General features: G+C 41.0%; 1 protein-coding gene across 5 annotated transcripts in view, besides 2 other annotated features; it reads left to right on the plus strand.

Annotated features, from left to right (window-relative positions):
• GINS1 (GINS complex subunit 1) overlaps positions 1-18,410 on the plus strand; it is a 40,891-nt gene extending 22,481 nt beyond the window's left edge. For all 5 annotated transcript variants that reach the window (NR_134574.2, NM_021067.5, NM_001410830.1 and 2 more), the window contains 2 exons: positions 11,549-11,623; positions 15,770-18,410. Coding sequence is in view for 4 of the 5 variants with exons in the window: in NM_021067.5 (NP_066545.3) it covers positions 11,549-11,623; positions 15,770-15,838 (144 nt within the window). In the remaining variant the exon portion in view is untranslated. The remainder of the gene's footprint in view (positions 1-11,548; positions 11,624-15,769) is intronic.
• Positions 7,228-7,899: an enhancer, noted in NCBI's record as "H3K27ac-H3K4me1 hESC enhancer chr20:25418017-25418688 (GRCh37/hg19 assembly coordinates)". NCBI's record gives its function as "activates a minimal SCP1, AML or CMV promoter by ChIP-STARR-seq in primed H9 embryonic stem cells {active_cell/tissue: H9 hESC(primed)}" and the evidence as "EXISTENCE:reporter gene assay evidence [ECO:0000049][PMID:30033119]".
• Positions 7,900-8,571: an enhancer, noted in NCBI's record as "H3K27ac-H3K4me1 hESC enhancer chr20:25418689-25419360 (GRCh37/hg19 assembly coordinates)". NCBI's record gives its function as "activates a minimal SCP1, AML or CMV promoter by ChIP-STARR-seq in primed H9 embryonic stem cells {active_cell/tissue: H9 hESC(primed)}" and the evidence as "EXISTENCE:reporter gene assay evidence [ECO:0000049][PMID:30033119]".
• Positions 18,411-21,436: the final 3,026 nt, after the last annotated feature.

Here is a 21,436-nt window from a genome sequence, read left to right on the forward strand (position 1 = left end):
ACCCGCCTTGGCCTCCCAAAGTGCTGGGATTATAGGCGTGAGCCACCGTGCCTGGCCAGCTTTCAGTCTTTCACCATTGAATATGATGTTTGCTGTAGAGTTTCCATATATGGCTTTTATTATGTTGATGTATAGTTATCTTCTGTTCCTAGTTTGTTGAGTATTTTTATGAAAGGAAGTTGAATTTTGTCAAACGCTTTTTCTGTATCAATTGAAATGATCATGTTTTTTTCCCTTCGTTCTGTTAATGACTTATATTGATTGATTTTCATATCTTGAACTGTCCTTGCATTCCAAAAATAAATCTCAATTGATTTATGATGAACTCTTTTACTATGCTGCTGAATTTGATTTGATACTATTGTGGTGATAATTTTTTTAATTTTTATTTTTCAAGACGGAGTTTTGGTCTGGTTGCCCAGGCTGGAGTGCAATGGCACGATCTTGACTCACCGCAACCTCTGCCTCCTGGGTTCAAGCGATTCTCCTGCCTCAGCCTCCCAAGTAGCTGCGATTACAGGCATGTGCCACCACACCCGGCTAATTTTGTGTTTTTAGTAGAGATGGGGTTTCTCCATGTTGGTCAGGCTGGTCTCGAACTCCCGACCTCAGGTGATCCTCCCGCCTTGGCCTCCCAAAGTGCTGGGATTACAGGCGTGAGCCACCATGCCTGGCCTGTGTTGAGAATTTTTGCATCAGTGTTCATAAGGGACATTGGTCTATAGTTTTCTTGGAGTATCTTTTCTGGCTTTGGTATTAGGGTAATGCTGGCCTCATAAAATGAGTTAGGGAGGTGTTCCCTCCTTTTATATTTTTTAGAAAAGTTTGAGAAGGATTGGTGTTCTTGAAATGTTTGATAGAGTTACCCAGTGAAGCCATCAGCTCTAGGGTTTTCTTTATTGAGAGATTTTTGATTAGTGATTGAGTCCCCTTACTAGCTATAGGTCTATTCCAATTTACTAGTTCTTAATCATTCAGTCTTTGTAGGTTTGTGTTTCTGGGAATTTGTCCATTTCATCTAGGTTTTCCAATTTGTTGGTGTACAATTGTTCATAGGACTCTTAGAACTCTTTTTATTTCTGTAGGATTGGTAGTAATGTCCTCACTTTCATTTTTGATTTTAGTAATTTGAGCCTTCTTTTATTCTTAGTCTGTCTAGCTAAAGGTTTGTAAATTTTGTTGACCTTTTAAAATAACCAAATTTTAGTTTTATTGGTTTTCTCTATGAGTGTTTCTGTTCTTCATTTTATTAATGTCTGCTCTAATCATTATTTCCTCCTTCTAGCTTTAGGTTTAGCTTGCTTTTCTTTTTCTGGTTCCTTAAGATGTAAAGTTAGGTGGTTGGCTTGAAATTTGTCTTCTTTCGTTTTTGTTTTTGTTTCTTTTTTCTTTTTCTTTTTCTTTTTCCTTTTTTCTTTTTTCTTTTTTTTTTTTTGAGACAGGATCTCACTCTGTTACCCAGGCTGTAGTGCAGTGTCACAATCTCAGCTCACTTCATCCTCCGCCTCCAGGGTTCAAGTGATTCCCATGCCTCAGCCTCCCGAGTAGCTGGGACTGTAGGGGTGCGCCACCACGCCCGGCTAATTTTTGTATTTTTTGCTAGAGACAGGATTTTACTGTATTGTCCAGGCTGGTCTTGAACTCCTTACCTCAAGTGATCCACCCACCTTGGCCTCACAAAGTACTGGGATTACAGGTGTGAGCCACCATGCCTGGCCTTGTTTTTGTTTTTGAGACAGAGTCTCACTGTATTTTCCAGGCTGGAGTGCAGTGGTGCGATCTCGGCTTACTGCAACCTCCATTTCCCGGGTTCAAGTGATCCTTCCACCACAGCCTCCCAAGTAGAGTACCTGGGACTACAGGCATGTGCCTCCATGCCCAGCTAATTTTTGTATTTTTAGTAGAGACGGGGTTTCACCATGTTGGCCAGGCTGGTCTTGAACTCCTGACCTCAAATGATCTGCTGCCTCAGCCTCCCAAAGTGCTGGAATTGCAGGCGTGAGCCACCGCGCCTGGCCATGAAATCTGTCTTATTTTTTAATGTAGGTGTTTATGTTTGTAACTATAAATTTCTCAGTACTGCTTTTGCTGCATTCCATACATTTTGATGTGTTATGTTTTTGTTTTTTCACCTTTAAGTATTTTCAAAATTTCCTTTCTTTCTTTTTTTTTTTTGAGACGGAGTCTCACTCTGTTGCCCAGGCAGTGGCACAATCTCGGCTCACTGCAACCTCCGCCTCCCGAGTTCAAATGATTCTCCTACCTTAGCCTCCCAAGTGGCTGGGATTATAGGAGTGCACCACCACGCCCGGCTAATTTTCTTCTTTTTTTTAGACAGAGTCTTGCTCTGTTGTCCAGGATGGAGTGCAGTGGTGCGATCTTGGCTCACTACAACCTCCATCTCCCGAGTTCAAGCGATTCTCCTGCCTCAGCCTCCCGAGTAGCTGGGATTACAGGCACGTGCCACCATGCCTGGCTAATTTTTGTATTTTTAGTAGAGATGGGATTTCGCCATGTTGGCCAGGCTGGTCTGGAATTCCTGACCTCAGGTGATCTGCCCACCTCGGCCTCCCAAAGTGCTGGGATTACAGGCGTGAGCCACCACAACTGGCAGATGAATTGTTATTAGATGTGTCTATACTTGTTATATCTTCTTGTATGTATTATATATTTATCATATATTATGTTATATAGTATATGTTTATTATATATTAACTTATATAATAACATTATATATTAATATATATTCTATAATATATAATAGTCTTTTTTGTCTCTGGTAAGCTTTTTAAATTTAAAGTCCATTATAGCTAATATTAGTACAGCCACCCTGGTTCTCTTTTGGCAGGTATTCGCATAGAATATCTTCTTCTACCCTTTCACTTTCAATCTATTAATGTTTGTGTCTTTGGGTCTATAGTGAGTCTCTTGTAGACAACATGTGATTGGATCGTTTTGTTTAATCCATTCTGCTAATCTCTGTCTTTTGCTTAAAGAGTTTAATCCATCCCCTTTAACATAATTACTGATAAGGAAGGACTTCTGTCATTTTGCTGTTTTTCTATATGCCTTATAACTTTTTTTTTCTTGCAATGGACTGGGGAATAATAACTTTTTTGTCTCTCATTTCCTTCATTATTGCCTTCTTCAGTATTTAGTTGATTTTTTGAAACATTTAGATTTCTTTCTCATTTCCTCATTACCCCCCACAGATACCAAGATCCATGGATGCTCAAGTCCCTTATATAAAGTAGTATGGTATTTGAATAGTACCTAGGTACATGCTGTTATATACTTTAAATAATCTCTAGATTACTTACAATACCTTATACAATATAAATGCCATAGATATAGTTGTTATACCATATCATTTTTAGGGAATAACAATAAGGAAAAAAAGTCTGTACATGTTCAGTACAGACACAACCATCCATTTGTTTAAAAAAATTTTTGATTTGCAGATACGGAACCTACAGAGACAGAGGACCAACTATATTCTATAGCTGTTTTCCTTGTGGTTAGTGATAGCTAGTACATTTAATATCTTAAAATTATAACACTTTAATTTCAACTTACAGCAGCTTGACTTCAGTAACATACCAAAATTCTGATCCCTCAAATCAAAAGCTCCATCCTTATTTCTATTGTTGATGTCACAAAACTACATCTTTATATGTTGTGAGCCCCAAAACATAAACTAATAAATCTTTTAAATGCATTAGTTTCTTAAATTGTGTAGAAAACAAAATTTAGGGTTGCAAAGTTACAATAATACTAGCTTTTAGACTAATCAATGTTTTTTTAAATGTGTTAGTCACTGAAATCATGTTAAAAACAAAAAATAGGGGCTGGGGGTGGTGGCTCTTATGCCTGTAATCCTAGCACTTTGGGAGTCCGAGGTGGGTGGATTGCGTGAGCTCAGAAATTTGAGACCAGCCTGGGCAACATGGCAAAACCCCATCTCTACTAAAAATAAAAAAAATTAACTGGTGTGGTGGCACGAGCTTGTAGTTTCAGCTACTCAGGAGGCTGAGGCAGGAGAATCACTTGAACCAGGAGGTGGGGATTGCAGTGAACTGAGATCGCACCATTGCACTCCAGCCTGGGCGACAGAATGAGTCTCCACACCTCCCCGCTGCCCAGAAAAAAAAAACCCAACAAAAAATAGAGTTATAAAATGTTACAATATTGCTAGGTTTTAGAATTTTCCATGTATTCACTGTCTTAGTCCATTTGAGCAGCTAAAACAAAATACCTGAGACTAGGTAATTTCTAACGAACAGTAATTTTTTTTCTTTTTTTTTTAAAGAGACAAGGTCTTGCTCTGTTTGTCATCCAGGCTGGGGTGTGGTGGTACAATCATAGTTCACTACAGCCTTGAACGCCTGGGCTCAATCAATCTCCTGCCTCGGCCTCCTAAGTAGCTATGACTACGGGCATGCACTACTGTGCCTGGCTAATGTTTACATTTTTTGTAGAGATGTGACCTTGCTATGTTGCCAAGGGTAGTCTTGAACTCCTAGCCTCAAGCAGTGCTCCTGCCTCAGCCTCTCAGTGTTGGGATTATAGGCTTGAGCCACTGTGCCCAGCCAGCCTGTCTCAATTAATTCTGGAGGCCTGGATGTCCAAGATCAAAGTGCCAGCAGATTCATTTGTCTTCTGTGGGCTACACTCTGCTTCCAATGTGGCGCCTTGAATGCTGCATCCTCTGGAGGGATGAAATGCAGTGTCCTTGCATAGCAGAAGGTGGAAGGACAAAAAGGACCAAACTCCTTCCATCAAGTCATTTTATAATGGCATAAATCCATTTATGAAGGCAGAGCCCTTATGCCCTGACCACCTCACCAAAGTCCTCACCTCCCAACACTGTTGAATTGAGGATTAAATTTCTACCACATTGATTTTTGGGGATGCATTCAGACATAGCATTTACCTATATTGAGATCTTTATTTCTTCACATGGGTTCAAGTTACTATCTTGTGATAGTTACCATATATAGGATTCTTGGTTGGTGATGTTGTTCTTTTAGTACTTTGAATATATTGGCCCACTGCCTTCTAGCCTCCAAAGTTTGTAATAAGAAATTTGGTGAAAATCTTATTGAGGATCCCAGGTATGTGATGACTTACTTATCTTTTGCTGCTTTCTTTTTGAATTTTTTAGAGACAGGGTCTCACTGTGTCAAGCAGGATAAACCGCAGTGGCACAATCATAGCTCACTGTAATCTCAAACTCCTGGGCTGAAGCAATCCACCTCAGCCTCCCAAGTGGCTAGGACTAGTGGCGCATACCTCCAAGCCTGGCTAATTTTTAAAGTTTTTGGGGCCAGGTGTGGTGGCTCACGCCTGTAATCCCAGCACTTTTGGAGGCCGAGGCAGGCAGATCACAAGGTCAGGAGTTTGAGACCAGCCTGAGCAAAACGATGAAACCCCATCTCTACTAAAAATACAAAAATTAGCCGGGTGTGGTGGTGCACGCCTGTAATCCTAGCTACTCGGAAGGCTGAGGGAGGAGAATTGCGAATTGCTTGAACCTGGGAGGCAGAGGTTGCAGTGAGCCGAGATCACACCACTGCACTCCAGCACGGGCAACAGAGTGAGATTCCGTCTCAAAAAAAAAAAAAAAAAAAAAAAACCAACTTTTTGTAGAGTTACACTTTTTTTTTTTTTTTTTTTTGAGACGGAGTCTCACACTGTCACCCAGGCTGGAGTGCAGTGGCGCAATCTCAGCTCACTGCATCCTCCACCTCCCGGGTTCATGCCATTCTCCTGCCTCAGCCTCTCAAGTAGCTGGGATTACAGGCACCTGCCACCATGCCCAGCTAATTTTTTTTTTTTTTTTGTATTTTTAGTAGAGACGGGGTTTCACCATGTTAGCCAGGATGGTCTCGATCTCCTGACCTTGTGATCTCACCTTGGCCTCCCAAAGTCCTGGGATTACAGGCGTGAGCCACTGTGCCCGGCCGAATTAAACTTTTTCTAGATAACAGGGTCTCCCTATGTTGCCTAGGCTGGTCTCAACCTCTTGGCTTCAAGTGATGCTCCCACCTTGGCCTCCCAAAATGCTGAGATTATAGGTGTGAGCCACCCTGCCCAGCCCTCTCTTGCTGCTTTCAAGATTCTTTGTCTTTTGAAAGTTTGATTATAATGTGTCTCATTGCGAGTCTGAGATCATCTTGTAGTTTGTTGAGCTTCTTTGATGTTTATATTTATGTCTTTTATCAAATTTAAGGAGTTTTCAGTTACTATTTCTTCAAAAATTCTCTCTGCCCCTTTGTCTTTCTCTTCTTGGTTTGCTTGATGGTGCCCTTCAGGTCTCTCAGGCTCTGTCCTTTTCTTCGGTCTTTTTTTATTTTTGTTCTTCAGACTTAGTCATTTCTGTTATCCTGTCTTTAGGTTTGCTTGTTCTTCTGCCTGCTCCAATCTGTCTTTGAATCCCTCAAGTGAATTTTTCATTTCGGTTTTTATAGTTCTCAGCTCCGGAATATCTTTTTGGTCTTTTTAGGTTTTCTATTTCTCTACTATTTCCATTTTGTTCATACATTGTTTCCATAACTTTCTCCCCATCTTCCTGTAGTTCTTAGAGCATCTTTAAAACTCTTGTTGTAAAGTCTTTGTGTAATAGATCTACCATCAAGTCTTTTTCAGGGACCATTTCTTATTTTTCTTTTTCCTTTGAATGGACCATACTTTTATGTTTCTTTGTATGTCTTGTGATTTGATTGTTTTTGCTGAAAACCAGACATTTCAGTCTAATAATGTTATAACTCTATAAATCAGATTCTCCCCTTTCCCCCAGGGTTTGCTGGTTTTGTTACTGTTTTTGTTTTTTTGGTTGTTGTAAGCTGTCGCTGTGCTTAGAATCAACCTGAGGTATAACCTTAAGGTTTTCTCAAATCTTTATTGAACCTGTGCCTTTCCTTGGTCACTTTCTAATTTTTCCTGTATACACAGTTGCTTTTCACTGCCCTAGTCTTTAATGTCTGGCTCCTGAAAGGGGGAAAAAAGAAAAATGAATAGAGGTGGGAAAACGGTGCTAGCCCTTTAAATCCCCTGGAATTCACTTCAGTGGAATGCGGGAGGGGCTTGCAGCCTTTGAGAAGGTGTGACAAAAATGTCTGCCAGCCTCATCATTTGCACCTCTGTGATCAGAAACAGCAATCAGCAGTGAGGAGCAGGGTGCTTTTTGCACACTCTGCACCAGCAACCTGTGTACAAGCTACTCCAAGAACACATGCACTGTGGCCTGCCACAAAGCTAGGAACAGGGGATGGTTAGCTGCTGCTATGCTAAGAGGCAAAATGGACAGTAAATTGCAGTGAATGTTTGTCAAAGCTCCAACCTCAAGCCTTCAGTAGACTCCAGAGTTCCAAAATACTGACGTCAGACAGAGTCTGCCCGTGCAGTTGTTGTGGAGGTAGGCAGACAGATTCCTGATGTTTCCTACTCCACCATTTTACCTGAATCCAGGAGTTATTTACATTACTTTAAAACACATAAATTGTATATTCCTGGTATATATGTTCTGAGGACAAAAGAATTACAAAGAGTTCTTAACCTGTTTTTACTAATCATATTATTAGTAATAATTTTGTTACTGTTATTTTGAAACAGTTTTCATATTGAAGAATAGAGCAAAAGGGTAATTGACATTACCAACAGTTTTCAGAATAAGAGAAAAGGGGCCGGGCACAGTGGCTTACGCTTGTAATCCCAGCACTTTGGGAGGCCGAGGCGGGTGGATCACCTGAGGTCAGGAGTTTGAGACCAGCCTGGCCAACATGGTGAAACCCCATCTCTACTAAAAATACAAAATTTAGCCAGGCGTGGTGGCGGGCACCCGTAATCCCATCTACTCAGGAATTTGAGGCGGGAGAATCGCTTGAACCCATGAGAAGGAGGTTGCAGTGAGCTGAGATTGTGGCATTGCACTCCAGCCTGGGCAACAAGAGCAAAACTCCGTCTCAAAAAAAAAAAAAAAAAAGTATTGATTAGCTCTGCCTACCGAAAAGGCCTAGAAACAATGACCAAGCCAATTAGCCATGAGTGTCCAGAGTCTATACCTAAATGCCATTTCCCACTAAAGTAAACCAGGACTCCTTGCACAAAAATAGCTGATTCCAGGTTCTGAATTAAAAATGTACGAACTGAGCATGAAACATCTTGTCTTCCCAGAAAGGAAGGAAGGTGTCAAGGACTAAGCGGGGACTACTGGAAGGATATGGGGGCCAATTTGAAGGAGCTCTTGCTAACCAAAAAATGGACAATTTTAGCATCAACATGACTAATAACTGCGGTGAATTGGATCACATCAATTACGTTAGAAGTATGAATGCATAATGACACCAAAGAACAACACTTTTTTTTTTTTTTTTTTTTTTTTTTGAGGCAGTATCTGGGTCTGTTGTTCAGGCTGGAGTACAGTGGTACAATCTCGGCTCATTTGTTATTTAGGACCTGGAATCAGCTATTTTAGTGCAAGGAGTCCTGGTTTACTAAAACCTCCACCTCCCAGGCTCAAGCCATCCTCCCACCTCAGCTTCCACAGTAGCTGTAACTACAGGTGCTCACAACCACACCCAGCTAATTTTTGTATTTTTTGTACCGATGGTATTTCACCATGTTGCCCAGGCTCGTCTTGAACTCCTAAGCTCAAGCAATCCTCTTGCCTCTCCCTCCCAAAGTGCTGGGAATACGGGCATGAGCCACTGTGCCTGGCCAACAAAAATTTTAAAAAATAAAACATTTTTGAGGTTTCCTTGGAGAATGTGAGGGATCCAACTCATTTGAAAAGTGGCAAGTTAGAGAATGGAATAAAAGCATCCATTGTCTTTACTATACAAACTCTATCTTAAGGTAGCCCAATAGTTTACAAAGGAAATTTGTTTTTATAGAAGAATTCCAGCTAACAAATGTAGCAGGAATATAAGAATTAGATTAATGCTTGTAACCCTTTATTTACTAAAACCTTTCAGTAGATAATGGAGATCTTTATAATGCATGAGTATGGATGACACTTGGGCCCACTGATTAATCTCAACATCCAAAAAGAGACAGCCAGGCACTTTGTGTTTTATGGGGTCTTGTAACAGAAAGTACATAACACCATTTGCCACAAAATCACCTTATCTGATGTAGACCTAACTTCCATTTTATAGGAAACTCAGGGACAAAGGAACAATGTTAAATGACCCCAAAGAAATCCACAACAAAATCTTGATTGTGAAAAGTTGTACTGACCCTGTGCAGTGACTCACGTCTGTAATCCCAACACTTTGGGAGGCCAAAGCAGGAGTATTGCTTGAGACCAGGTGTTCAAGCCTGCAGTGACAAACTACTCACCCAATTTTTTCAACAAATAAAATACCAAGAGGAAGGAAAAAATAAAGAGGAAGTGAAACCTATAGATTAAAAGAGACTTACAAGACATTTAAAAAAAAAGTAATGTGTGGCTTTGTTGGATTCTGATTTCAACGTGGAAACCTTAAAAAAAATTCATGAGACAAGTGGGAAATTTGGATACTAACTAGATAGTTCATGATACTAAAAATTATTAATTAAGGCTGGGCACGGTGGCTCATGCCTGTAATCCTAGCACTTTGGGAAGCTGCAGGTGGATCATTTGAGGTCAGGATTTGAGAGCAGCCTGGCCAACATGGTGAAACCCCGTCCCTACTAAAAATACAAAAAAATTAGTTGGGCGTGGTGGCTCCCTCCTGTAATCCCAGCTACTAGGGAGGCTGAGGCAGGAGAATTGCTTGAACCTGGGAAGCGGAGGTTCCAGTGAGCCAAGATCACACCACTGCACTCTAGCCTGGGTGACAGAGTGAGACTCTGTCTCAAAAAAAAAAAAAAATGCCAATACTATCTCATCTTAATAATTTTTATTTATTTATTTGAGACGGAGTCTCATTCTGTCACCCAGTCTGGAGTGCACTGGTGTGATCTCGCTCACTGCAACCTCAGCCTCCTGAGTAGCTGGGATTACAGGCACGCACCACCACACCCAGCTAAATTTTGTATTTTTGGTAGAGGCGGGGTTTCACCATGTTGACCAGGCTGGTCTTAAATTCCTGACTTCAGGTGATCCACCTGCCTCAGCCTCCCAAAATGCTGGGATTATAGGCATGAGCTGCCATGTACAGTCAGTATTGGGATTTTTAAAATTATCTGGTTTTATAGAAGTAGACAATAGAATATTTACAGATGAGGTGAAATGATGTCTAAGATTTGCTTCAGAATAACCCACAAATGGGTGAGGGGAATAAACTTGGCCATGTGTTGATGTCAGTTGATGGGGACATGGAGTAGTCTTTTTACTTTTGAATGTGTTTGAGATTTCCCAAAATAAAAGTTTATTTAGAGAAGCAAATGCGGCCAGGCGTGGTGGCTCATGCCTGTAATCCCAGCACTTTGGGAAGCGGGGACAGGCAGATCACTTGAGGTCAGGAGTTCGAAACCAGCCTGGCCAACATGGTGAAACCCCATCTCTACTAAAAATACAAAAATTAGTTGGGTATGGTGGTGAGCGCCTGTAATCCCAGCTACCCAGGAGGCTGAGGCAGGAGAACCGCTTGAGCCTGGGAGGCAGAGGTTGTAGTGCGTGGAGATCACACCACTGCACTCTGGCCTGGGCAACAGAGCAAGACTCTGTCTCAAAAAAAAAAAAAAAAAAAAAAGAAAGAAAAAACAGCAAATGCAAAGGACTCAGGGGATTTTTCTGGAGTGGTATTTCTCATATTTAATTAAAATACTTTGGGTGTCTTGGTAAGGTTCCGGAGGGATGGTAGGACATGATAAAATTATCTGGAAAAGTGGAAGACATAGTCGTTGCTGGCGTTGACTCTCCTGGCAACAACAGCAGTTCATCACTAGTACTCGTGAGAGTAAACTTCAGTCTGAATTCTCCTAGAAGAGGAAAAGTGCCCCCTTACTTCCTGTGGCAGCACTTAGTGCTGTAGCAGGTCTATAACCTGTACCTGGGAACACCTTTGTAGTTGCAGAGGTAGATATCAGAATGCTACCACTCCTGAATCCTGTCACGTGAGGTGGCATCTGCTCCTCCATGGTGTACTTGTAAGTATTCCTGGGAAATTATCTGAATTTTGAATGGGATTGGAAGAATTGCTTCCAAAAACGAATACTGCAGACTTACCTGTGTCCCATTCTCAGATACTGATATTTTATGGGAGGGATCTATAAGAAGCAGGTTGGAGCAGATCTAAAACATTCCTTGTGGATAGATATTTCACCTGCTTAATTTTTCAGGATTTCAGAGGGGAAGGAGGCAACATCGTTGTCTCCCTGCATCGCCTTGCTGTCAGCGCTGACATTTACTAGCAGAGATTTTGCGGTTCTTCTTCCTCCCTGTCAAAACTGGACACTTGGAACTATTAGAATACCACAATAGTAGTACTAGGCCTAAGTACATGGAGAGGAAACAAACAAAGTCCTTATTGTCTGTGTATTTGTATAATGCTGATTTATTTTTTGGTCACTGCATATTAAAAACTAATTTAGATAAAACATCTCTCATTTTTTCTTTCAGGTCCGGTGTCTAAAAGACTATGGAGAATTTGAAGTTGATGATGGCACTTCAGTCCTATTAAAAAAAAATAGCCAGGTATTTCTTATCTTCAGATTCTTTACTTTAAATCTTATGAGTGTTGTATGGTGGAAAAGTTGGAATAGCAAAATAAATATCAACTTTTGATGATCGTTTATATATTAGGCATTATCTTTTAGTATAATATACCCTGTTCTGTACTTTTTCTGAATATTAAGACTGGAAGCAAATGTTGCATATAATAAAAGATTCATTAATTTAGTAGGATATTGCTTATATTTAAAACTAGGTGTTTTCTAGGGGAATTACCATAATCAGCCTTATTCTGGGTAAGTGATAGATTATTATCTGGAGGCTATTGAACTGTTGGATTTAGCTCCTTTGTTCATATAATTTATTCTAAAAGTTCCTAAGCAGTTTTTTTAGCTTACACTTTGCCTTATAAATCCTAGTTCTTTAGCAAGCAAATAGTGATACAGATTTTTCTGTTTTCAAAAGAAGAATTTTCAAGTATTTGGTATATAAACATAACAATTTAATAGAGGAAGATTAAAATTGTAAAGTTGTAACTTAAGCTAAATTTGTCCTTATAAGGAATCTTTATCCATCTATCTATCTATCTGTCTGTCTGTCTGTCTGTCTGTCTGTCTGTCTATCTATCTATCTATCTTTAAAGAAAATAGAGATGGGGCCTTGCTATGTTGACCATGCTAGTCTCAAACTCTCCTGGGCTCAAGCAATCCACCTTCCTTAGTATCCTAAAGTGCGAGGATTACAGGTGTGAACCACCATGCCTTAAGTAATCTCAGTATATTAATTATTTCCCTAGAAATCTTCATATTCACATTAGATGAATTCACGTTAACTATATTATTACTATTATTATTATTATTTTTTTTTTTTTTTGAGACGGAGTCTTGCTCTGTTCCCCAGGCTGGAGTGCAGTGGCGGGATCTCCACTCATTGCAACCTCTGCCTCCTGGGCTCAAGTGATCCCCCACCTCAGCCTCCCCAAGTAGCTGGACCACAGGCACACGCCACTACACCCAGTTAATTTTTGTAATTTTTGTAGAGACGGAGTTTCACCAGTTGGCCAGGCTGGTCTTGAACTCCTGAGCTCAAGCAATCCACCCACCTCAGCCTCCCAAAGTGCTGGGATTACAGGCTTAAGCCACTGTGCCCGGCCACTAAATTTTTTATCCTATCCCAATTTTCTGAAGTCGTGAGGAGGAAAAATGACCTAATAAAAGCTGTTCTCTTTCTTTCCTTGCCTGCTGTCTTGGGGTCAGCCATTTAGGATCTGTTGACCCTAAGGATTTGGTGTTCACTTTGTTCATGCCAGGGAGCAAAAGAATGTTTCAGGTCATGTGGTTCTTGAGCTTATTTTCCTAACAGGGTGAGTTGATCTCTTATTTTACTAATACCCTTGGATCTTTAAAACTATTTTACTAATAGTTGACTAAAATTATTTTACTAATACCCTTGGAGCTTCTAAAACAAAGGTTGAATATTTTTAAAAAAGATTTTGAGGGTTCCCTAAAGTCTTCAGTTGTTAAGGCAACAATTTCTGTCCCAAGTATTCTCTTAGGACACTAATGAATTTAAAGCAGATAATGAATTAATGCTCTGATAAGCAGCTATATTTCTGGAGGGCCCAGGAGGAAGCTCTGGCACAAGAACAAGAAAAAAGCCATCCTCATAAAGCAAGATATGTGAAATGTCCCTTCATCCCAAATGCTGTCCTGTGGTTGAATTTCTTTTTTTTTTTTTTTTTTTGAGACAAAGTCTCGCTCTTGTCCCCCAGGCTGGAGTACAGTGGCATGATCTTGGCTCACTGCAACCTCTGCCTCCCATGTTCAAGCTTTTCTCCTGCCTCAGCCTCTCAAATAGCTGGGATTACAGGCGCCTGCCACCACGCCTGGCTAATTTTTGTATATTTTTTAGTAGAGGCGGCGTTTCACCATGTTGGCCAGGCTGGTTTCAAATTCCTGACCTTAGGTAATCCGCCCACCTCAGCCTCCCAAAGTGCTGGGATTACAGGTGTGAGCCACCGCACCTGGCCTGGTGGTTGAATTTTTTAACTCTGTTTCTCAGCTGTGACCCTACCCTCAATTATAAAAATGGAGGCATGAAAAAGAAACAATATCAGCCACAGTTGATGGTTGGTATTAGGGGCTTCTAATGTTCAACCACATCCAAACTTTCTGTAGAATCTGTGGTGTAGATCATTCACATACTCTAAAATATTAGTAGGAAACATTTATCTATCTATCTATCTATCTATCTATCTATCTATCTATGGTTTTTTTCGAGATGGACTCTCGCTCTGTCACCCAGGCTGTAGTGCAGTGGCGTGATCTTGGCTCACTGCAACCTCTGCCTTCTGGGTTCAAGCAATTCTCCTGCCTCAGCCTCTCGAGTAGCTGGGATTGCAGGCGTGTGTCACCATGCCTGGCTAATTTTTGTATTTTTTTTAGTAGAGGCGGGGTTTCACCATGTTGATCAGGCTGGTCTCAAACTCCTGACCTCGTGATCCACCTGCCTTGGCCTCCCAAAGTGCTGGGATTACAGGCGTGAGCCACTGCGCCTGGCTGGGAAACATTTTCTAATATACATTCTTTTATATTTGTCACTATGGCAAGCACTGTTACTTTTTATCCAGAAATCAATACTCTCCATCTGTTTAATACCAGCATTAGTATGGACATTAAATGAACAACTCAGTTATTTTGTTTTTGTTGTGTTTTTTTACATTTTTCTTGGCTCATGTATCTTCAAGATTGGTTTAGAAGAATTTGGTCATGGGTCTCTTGCCAGGCCTTTGAGTTTGTGAGGCAGGACCTTCAGGTGCACATGGCTACTGAGGTTACATTTTGCTTCCTTGAGATCTTCCTTTGAGATTTCTTTGACCACCTATGAATTGAAAAGCCTTCCTGCCTTGCTTCCTTAACCTCCCTCCTCCAAGGCAGTCAGTGTTTTCTGTAAGTCCTGGTATTTGAGAGGGAAGGAGACATCTTTCCACCTGCCCCTGGTTCCCTCAGAGCAAGAGCGATGTCCTCTTAGGAAGACACAGGACAAGCAATACCTGGGTACCGGCATCTTCCCATGTACCATGTGAATAGCACCCACGCGGTGGGTCATGAATACTTTTCAACCTTGAGACATACAGGAGGAAAGTTGTCACTTGTTATTAGAAGAATGTTCAGACTCTGAAATCCAAGAACAGGTTTTATGGAGAAATGAGCGTTTCATGGGTCTTCTTGATAGGCTGTTGAGCCAGTGATAATCCAAATCGCACCTATCTGGATTTCTCTGTGCATAAATTTTAAAAATATAAACACTAAGTACAATACCTACTAGAATTCAGAAGTCTTAGTTGAATTGAACTTAAGCAAACTGAATTCATTTGTAAAAGTCAGAATTCCATACAGCTCTAAATGGAATCAATTTCAATGGATTAAAACAGCAAATATAGTTTAACTTTTTTTTTTTGAGATGGAGTTTTGCTCTTGTTGCCCAGGCTGGAGTGCAATGGCACAATCTCGGCTCACCCCCAGGTTCAAGTGATTCTCCTGCCTCAGCCTCCTGTGTAGCTGGGATTACAGGCATGCGCCACCACGCCTGGCTAATTTTTTTTTTTTTTTTGTGACAGAGTCTCACTCTGTTGCCCAAGCTGGAGTGCAGTGGCACGGTCTCGGCTCACTGCAAGCTCTGCCTCCCGGGTTCACGCCATTCTCCTGCCTCAGCCTCCTGAGTAGCTGGGACTACAGGTGCCCGCCACCATGCCTGGCTAATTTTTTTGCATTTTTAGTAGAGACGGGGTTTCACCGTGTTAGCCAGGATGGTCTTGATCTCCTGACCTCGTGATCCACCCGCCTCGGCCTCCCAAAGTGCTGGGATTATAGGCGTGATCCACTGCCCCTGGGCCAACTTTGTATTTTTTAGTAGAGACGCGGTTTCTCCATGTTGGTTAGGCTGGTCTTGAACCCCCGACCTCAGGTGATCCGCCTACCTTGGTGTCCTAAAGTGCTGGGATTTCAGGCATGAGCCACCGTACCCAGCCCCTTAAGTTTAACTTTCAACTACTTACTTGTTGGAGTTTGAAAACTAATCAGTGCTACTTTTTAATGATACAAGAAATAATTTCAAATTCTTTCCCAATCATTTATTTTACTCTTTCTCCATCCCTTCTTGTCCCCTCAGCACTTTTTACCTCGATGGAAATGTGAGCAGCTGATCAGACAAGGAGTCCTGGAGCACATCCTGTCATGACCATGCGCCGAGGCACTTCCAGGCTTCACTCAACTCATGGACTCCTCTGTACTCACTCTCTCCACCACTCCCTTCACCTCCCTCTTTGATTTTAGAAGCTATAGACATTGTTTAAGATAACTAAGAATACTTGGCTAAGAAGTATAATTTGCTAACTATTAAGGACTTTCTTTTTTTAATGTTGTACACTATTCTTCCTACTCTTTTTTGGTTTTGGTTTTGTTTTGTAGAGACTGTCTCACTATGTTGCCCAAGCTGGTCTCAAACTCCTGGCCTCAAGCAGTCCTCCCACCTTAGCTTCTCAAAGTGTTGAGATCACAGGCGTGAGCCACTGCACCCGGCCCCTACTCCTTTTTCTAATAAGCTGTATCTGTAATCACAGCATTCCTACAGTTGTTACAGTGTGTTTTTTAAATGAAAGTAAACATGGTTACATTTGAATCTCTTAAATAAGCAGTCACTTGGCTGGACAGGAAGAAGGTAGATCCTGTGTGTCTTGTTTTCTGGTCATGTGTATTGTACAAGCTAGAGAGCTGAATTTCTGAGATACACATTTTCAAATCACATGCAAGTGAAGATGATGGTCTGTAGAAATTTTCAGTATATATAATGTTTAATGACATACTAATTTATCATCTGGCTATTTGGGAAGGAAGGACACACATGGATTTTGCACATTTCCACCATGGTGGCTGGTGTGGCTTGTGGCTATGGGGTGATCACCAGTATCACCACTTTGGAAGGGGACAGTGAAATTGGGGCTAGAGAAGGAACTTTGTACAGTTTTCCCTGAGATTCAGATTGACTGAAAAGTCACATGAAGAGTTGATTGTCTTTTAATGGTATGTTTTAAACAGCTGACATTTTAAATTTTGATGAAATCCAGTTTATTCGTTTGTTCTTTTATGCTTTGGGTGTTGCATCCGAGAAATCTTTTCCCATCCCAAGATCACAATTTTTTTTCCTTTTTACTTCTAGAAGTGTTATAATTTTAAGCTTTATACTTTGGTCTATGACCCGTTTTTTTTTTTGTTTTGTTTTGTTTTTTCGTTTGTTTCTTTGTTTTGAGATGGAGTCTTGTTCTGTCACCCAGGCTGGGGTGCAGTGGCGTGATCTTGGCTCACTGCAATCTCTATCCCCTGGGTTCAAGTGATTCTCTTGTCTCAGCCTCCCAAGTAGCTGGGATTACAGGCACAGGCCGCCACGCCTGGCTAATTTTTGTATTTTTAGTAGAGACAGAGTTTTACCATGTTGGCCAGGCTGGTTTCAAACTCCTGACCTCAAGTGACCCACCTTGGCCTCCCAAAGTTTTGGGATTACAAGTGTGGGCCACCGCGGCCAGCCTATGATCCATTTTGAATGAATTTTTTATATGGTGCAAGGTGTCAATCCACCTTCACTTTTTCTTGGGAATATAGATATCCAGCTGTTTCACTACCATTTTTTGAAAGGACTGCCCTTTGCTCTATCACCTTTGCATTTTTGTTAAAAAGTAGTTGTCAATGTATATGTGGGTTTATTTCAGGACTCTGTTTTGTTCCATTGACCTGTTTTTCTCTCCTGAATGCCAATACCATATTTGTATGTAGTGTATGTAATTTTCTAATAATTCTTGAAACAGATAGTATTAATGTGTCATATTTTTGCTGTTGTTTGTATTTTTTGTAGAGATGGGGTTTCACCGTGTTGGCCAGGCTGTGTTGAACTCCTGAGCTAAAGCAATACACTTGCCTCGTCCTCCCCATGTGCTGGGATTACAGGCGTGAGCCTTGGTGCTGGCCCAGTGTACCACATTTCTTTTTGAGATTTGTTTTGGCTATGTTAAGTCCTTTGCTTTTGATGTGAAATTTGGGAACAGGCAGGGTGTGGTGGCTTATGCCTGTAATCCTAGAACTTTGGGAGGCCTAGATGGGTGGATCACTTGAGCTCAGGAGTTCCAGACCAGCCCGGGCCTATGGCAAAACTCCGTCTCTACAAAAAATAGAAAAAATTAGCCAGGTGTGGTGGTGCATGCCTGTAGTCACAGTTACACGGCAGGCTGAGGTGGGAGGATCACTTGAACCCCAGAGGTCAAGACTGCAGTGAGCTGAGATCACACCACTGTACTCCAGCCTGGGTGACAAAGTGAGACTCTATCTCAAAAAGAAATTAGGATCAATTTGTCAATTTCTACAACAACAACAACAAAAACCCCTGTTGGGCACCTTGATTGAGATTGCATTGAATTTATATAAAACTGTTGGGAGAATTGACATCTTAATAATATTGAGTCTTCTGGCCTATAAACAAGGTCTGTCTTCCTAGGTATTAATGTTTTGTCTTCTATTTCTCTTAATAATCTTTTGTAGTTTTCAGTGTACAGGTCTACCATGTCAGCATTTCATAGTTTTGATGCTAAATGGTATTTTAAAATTTCAAATTCTAACCACTTGTTGCTAGTAAATAGAAATACAATTGATGTTGAACTTGTATCCTTCAGCCTTGCTAAACTGTGAGTTCTCATGGTGTTTTTGTAAATTACATCAACAGTCATGTGTTCTATGAATAAAGAGTTTTACTCCTTCCTTTCTAATCTGAATGCCTTTTATTTCTTTTTCTTGCCTGATGGCATTGGTTAGAACTTCCAGTAGAGTACTAAATATATGTGGTCAAAGACACCCCTATCTTGTTCCTGATCTAAGAAGGAAAACAGTCTTTCACTATTATGATGTTTGTTAGCTCTTAAGTTGTTTGTAGATGCCCTTTATTGGGGTAGGAAGTTCCTTCCTATTCCTAGTGATATGGTTTGGCTGTGTCCCTACCCAAATCTCAACTTGAACTGTAATAATTCCCATGTGTCAAGGGCAGGGCCAGGTGAAATAATTGAATCAAGGGGGTAGTTTTCCCCATACTTTTCTGGTGTTAGTCAATAAGTCTCACGAGATCTGATGGTTTTATAAATGGGAGTTCCCCTGGACATGCTCTTTTGCCTGCCACCATGTAAGACGTGACTTTGGTCCCTATCCATTTGCCTTATGCTGTGATTGTGAGGCCTCCCCAGCCATGTGGAACTGTCAATTAAATCTCTTTCCTTTATAAATTACCCACTCTCCAGTATGTCTTTATTAGCAGCATAAGACGACTAATACACCTAGTTTACTGAGAATTTTTTTAAAAGTCAGAAATGGATGCTGGATTTTGTCATATCTTTTTTCTGCATCTGTTGAGATGGTTTTGTCTTTTAGTTTGTTAGTCTGGTGAATTACAGTGGCTGATTGATCGATTGAGTTTTCAATGTTAAACCTACCCTGGATTCCTGGCATAAACCACACCTGGTCATGATATATTCTCCTTTTTGTAAGATTTTATTTGAAATTTTTTTGTAGAATTTTTGCATCAGTGTGCATGAGAAATACTGGTCTGGTGTTCTTGGGAAAATAATCCCTCCTATTCAGTTTTTTGGAAGAGTTTTCTAAATAGAAAAAAAAAACTGTTCTGTCACTTAACAACAACAACACAGAAGACTGTGACCAAATGCATGGGGGTTTTTCCCACATACCAAGCTCTGCAGTGGAGAGCAGGTGTGTCCTCTACTTCTATTTCAGTTCCGACACTACCTGGAGATAGCGTCAGATCCCACAGGGTCAGGGCTCAGTCCAAGACTGCCCTCCCTTGAGACACCAGCCACAAGTGTGGGCCTCTGAGATTCTGACCAACTAGCTTCAAGTTGGAGTTCCCATGCCCCACTCTTTGGATTCAATTAATTTGCTTGAGCAGCTCACAGAACTCAGAAACACTTAAGCTTACTGGTTTATTGTAAAGGATATGGTAAAATACGCAGATGAAAGGACCCAAATGGAAGCGATGCATAGGGTAAGGTATGGGGAAAGGATATGGAGCTTCGATGCTCACCACCCTCCAGGAGCCTCCATATGTTCAGCAATCCGGAAGCTCTCCACACCCTGTCCTTTTGGGCCTTTTATAGAAATCTCATTAGATAGGCATTATCAACAACCAAGCAGAGAGACGATTGGACTAAGAGGGTATGATCTAATGCTCACAGTCTGAGTGGCGCCATTCAGCCAGGCCCGTCTGCTCTGGTTCTTAGCCTCTGCTGCATTTCTTCTTTCAGAGTATGAGGCAGTGCCCCTTCTGATCACAGAGAATTTCTTTATGGCCAGCTCCAAGACAGAAAGGCGGGAAAAGGAGCAGGTGAAAGGAGGGCAGAAGGGCAGAAAGAGAATGTCTTCTGAGGCCTAAAATGCCCAAGCATTACAAGACTGCAACGAAGGCCATGGGAGTTAGTTACAGACAAGGAGCCATGGATGAAATCAATATATCTATCATACGTTTTATATACTTGGTATTATTTATTTCTTAAATGTTTATAGAGTTCATATTTAAGCCATCTAGGCCCGAAGTTTCTTTGTGGGAAGCTTAACCACAGTTTTGGCTTAATAAATACATGGCTATTTTGGTTATCCATTTTTTTTCTCGAATGAGCTTTGGCAATTTATGTATTCTCCATTTTATCTAAGTTACCAAATTTATTTATATAAAGTTGTTCATGGGCTGGGCACGGTGGCTCACGCCTGCAATCCCAGCACTTTGGGAGGCCAAGTCAGAAGGATCGCTTGAGCTCAGGAGTTTGAGACCAGCCCGGGCAACATAGCGAGACGTCAGGAAAAAAAAAAAATTGCCAGGTGTGGTGCTGTGCACCTGTAGTCTCAGCTACTCGGGAGGCTGAAGCGGGAGTTGGAGGCTGCAGTGAGCTATAATCATGCCACTGCACTCCAGCCTGGGCAACAGTGAGACCCTGTCTCAAAAAATAAAAATGTTCTTCATAATATTGCCTTATGATGCTTGTATATCTGTAGACTATAGTGGTATTACCTGTAGTGATATCACTTCTCATTTTTGGTATTAGTTTTTCTTTTCTTTTATTCTGACTGGACTAGAAGTTTATCAGTTTTACTAATCTTCTGAAAGAACATGTCTTTGGTTTACTTTCTCTATTCTTTGTTTTCTATTTCAAGGGTCAACAAATGTTTTCTGTGTATTAGGCTTTGTGGGCCACATGACCTGTTAACAGCCGCTCCGTGCTGCTGCTGGAGCACGAAGCAGGCGTAGGGAATCTGTGGACGTAGGGAATCTGTAACTGAGTGTGGCCGTGCCAACCAAACTTAACACAGCAGCTCTAGCCTGCAGCATGGCACAGCCAATCTGTTCCGTTCCTTGGTTTCTGCTGTGATCATCATCATTTTCTTTTCTTTTGACTTTAGGTTTAATTTGCTCTTCTTTGTCTAATTATTTAAGGTAGAAGCTCAAGTCGTTGATTTGAGACCTTTCTTCTAACCTGGGTGTTTGGTGCTAAGACTTTTCCCCTAAGTAATGCTTTCACTCTACCCCACAAATTTTGATATATTGTGTTTTCATTTCCATTCAATCCAGGATATTTCCCAACTTCCCCTCTTATCTCTTCTTTGCCTCATGCGTTATTCAGCAGTATGTTGTTCAGTTTCCAAATATTGGGGGATATATATATATTTTTTTTCAGGGCACAGGTAATTATTTATTTATTTCACTTTACCTCATTTTTTATTTTTTTATTATACTTTA

Source organism: Homo sapiens, chromosome 20 (assembly GCF_000001405.40).
Source record: "Homo sapiens chromosome 20, GRCh38.p14 Primary Assembly".
Classification (NCBI taxonomy): Eukaryota; Metazoa; Chordata; class Mammalia; order Primates; family Hominidae; genus Homo; species Homo sapiens.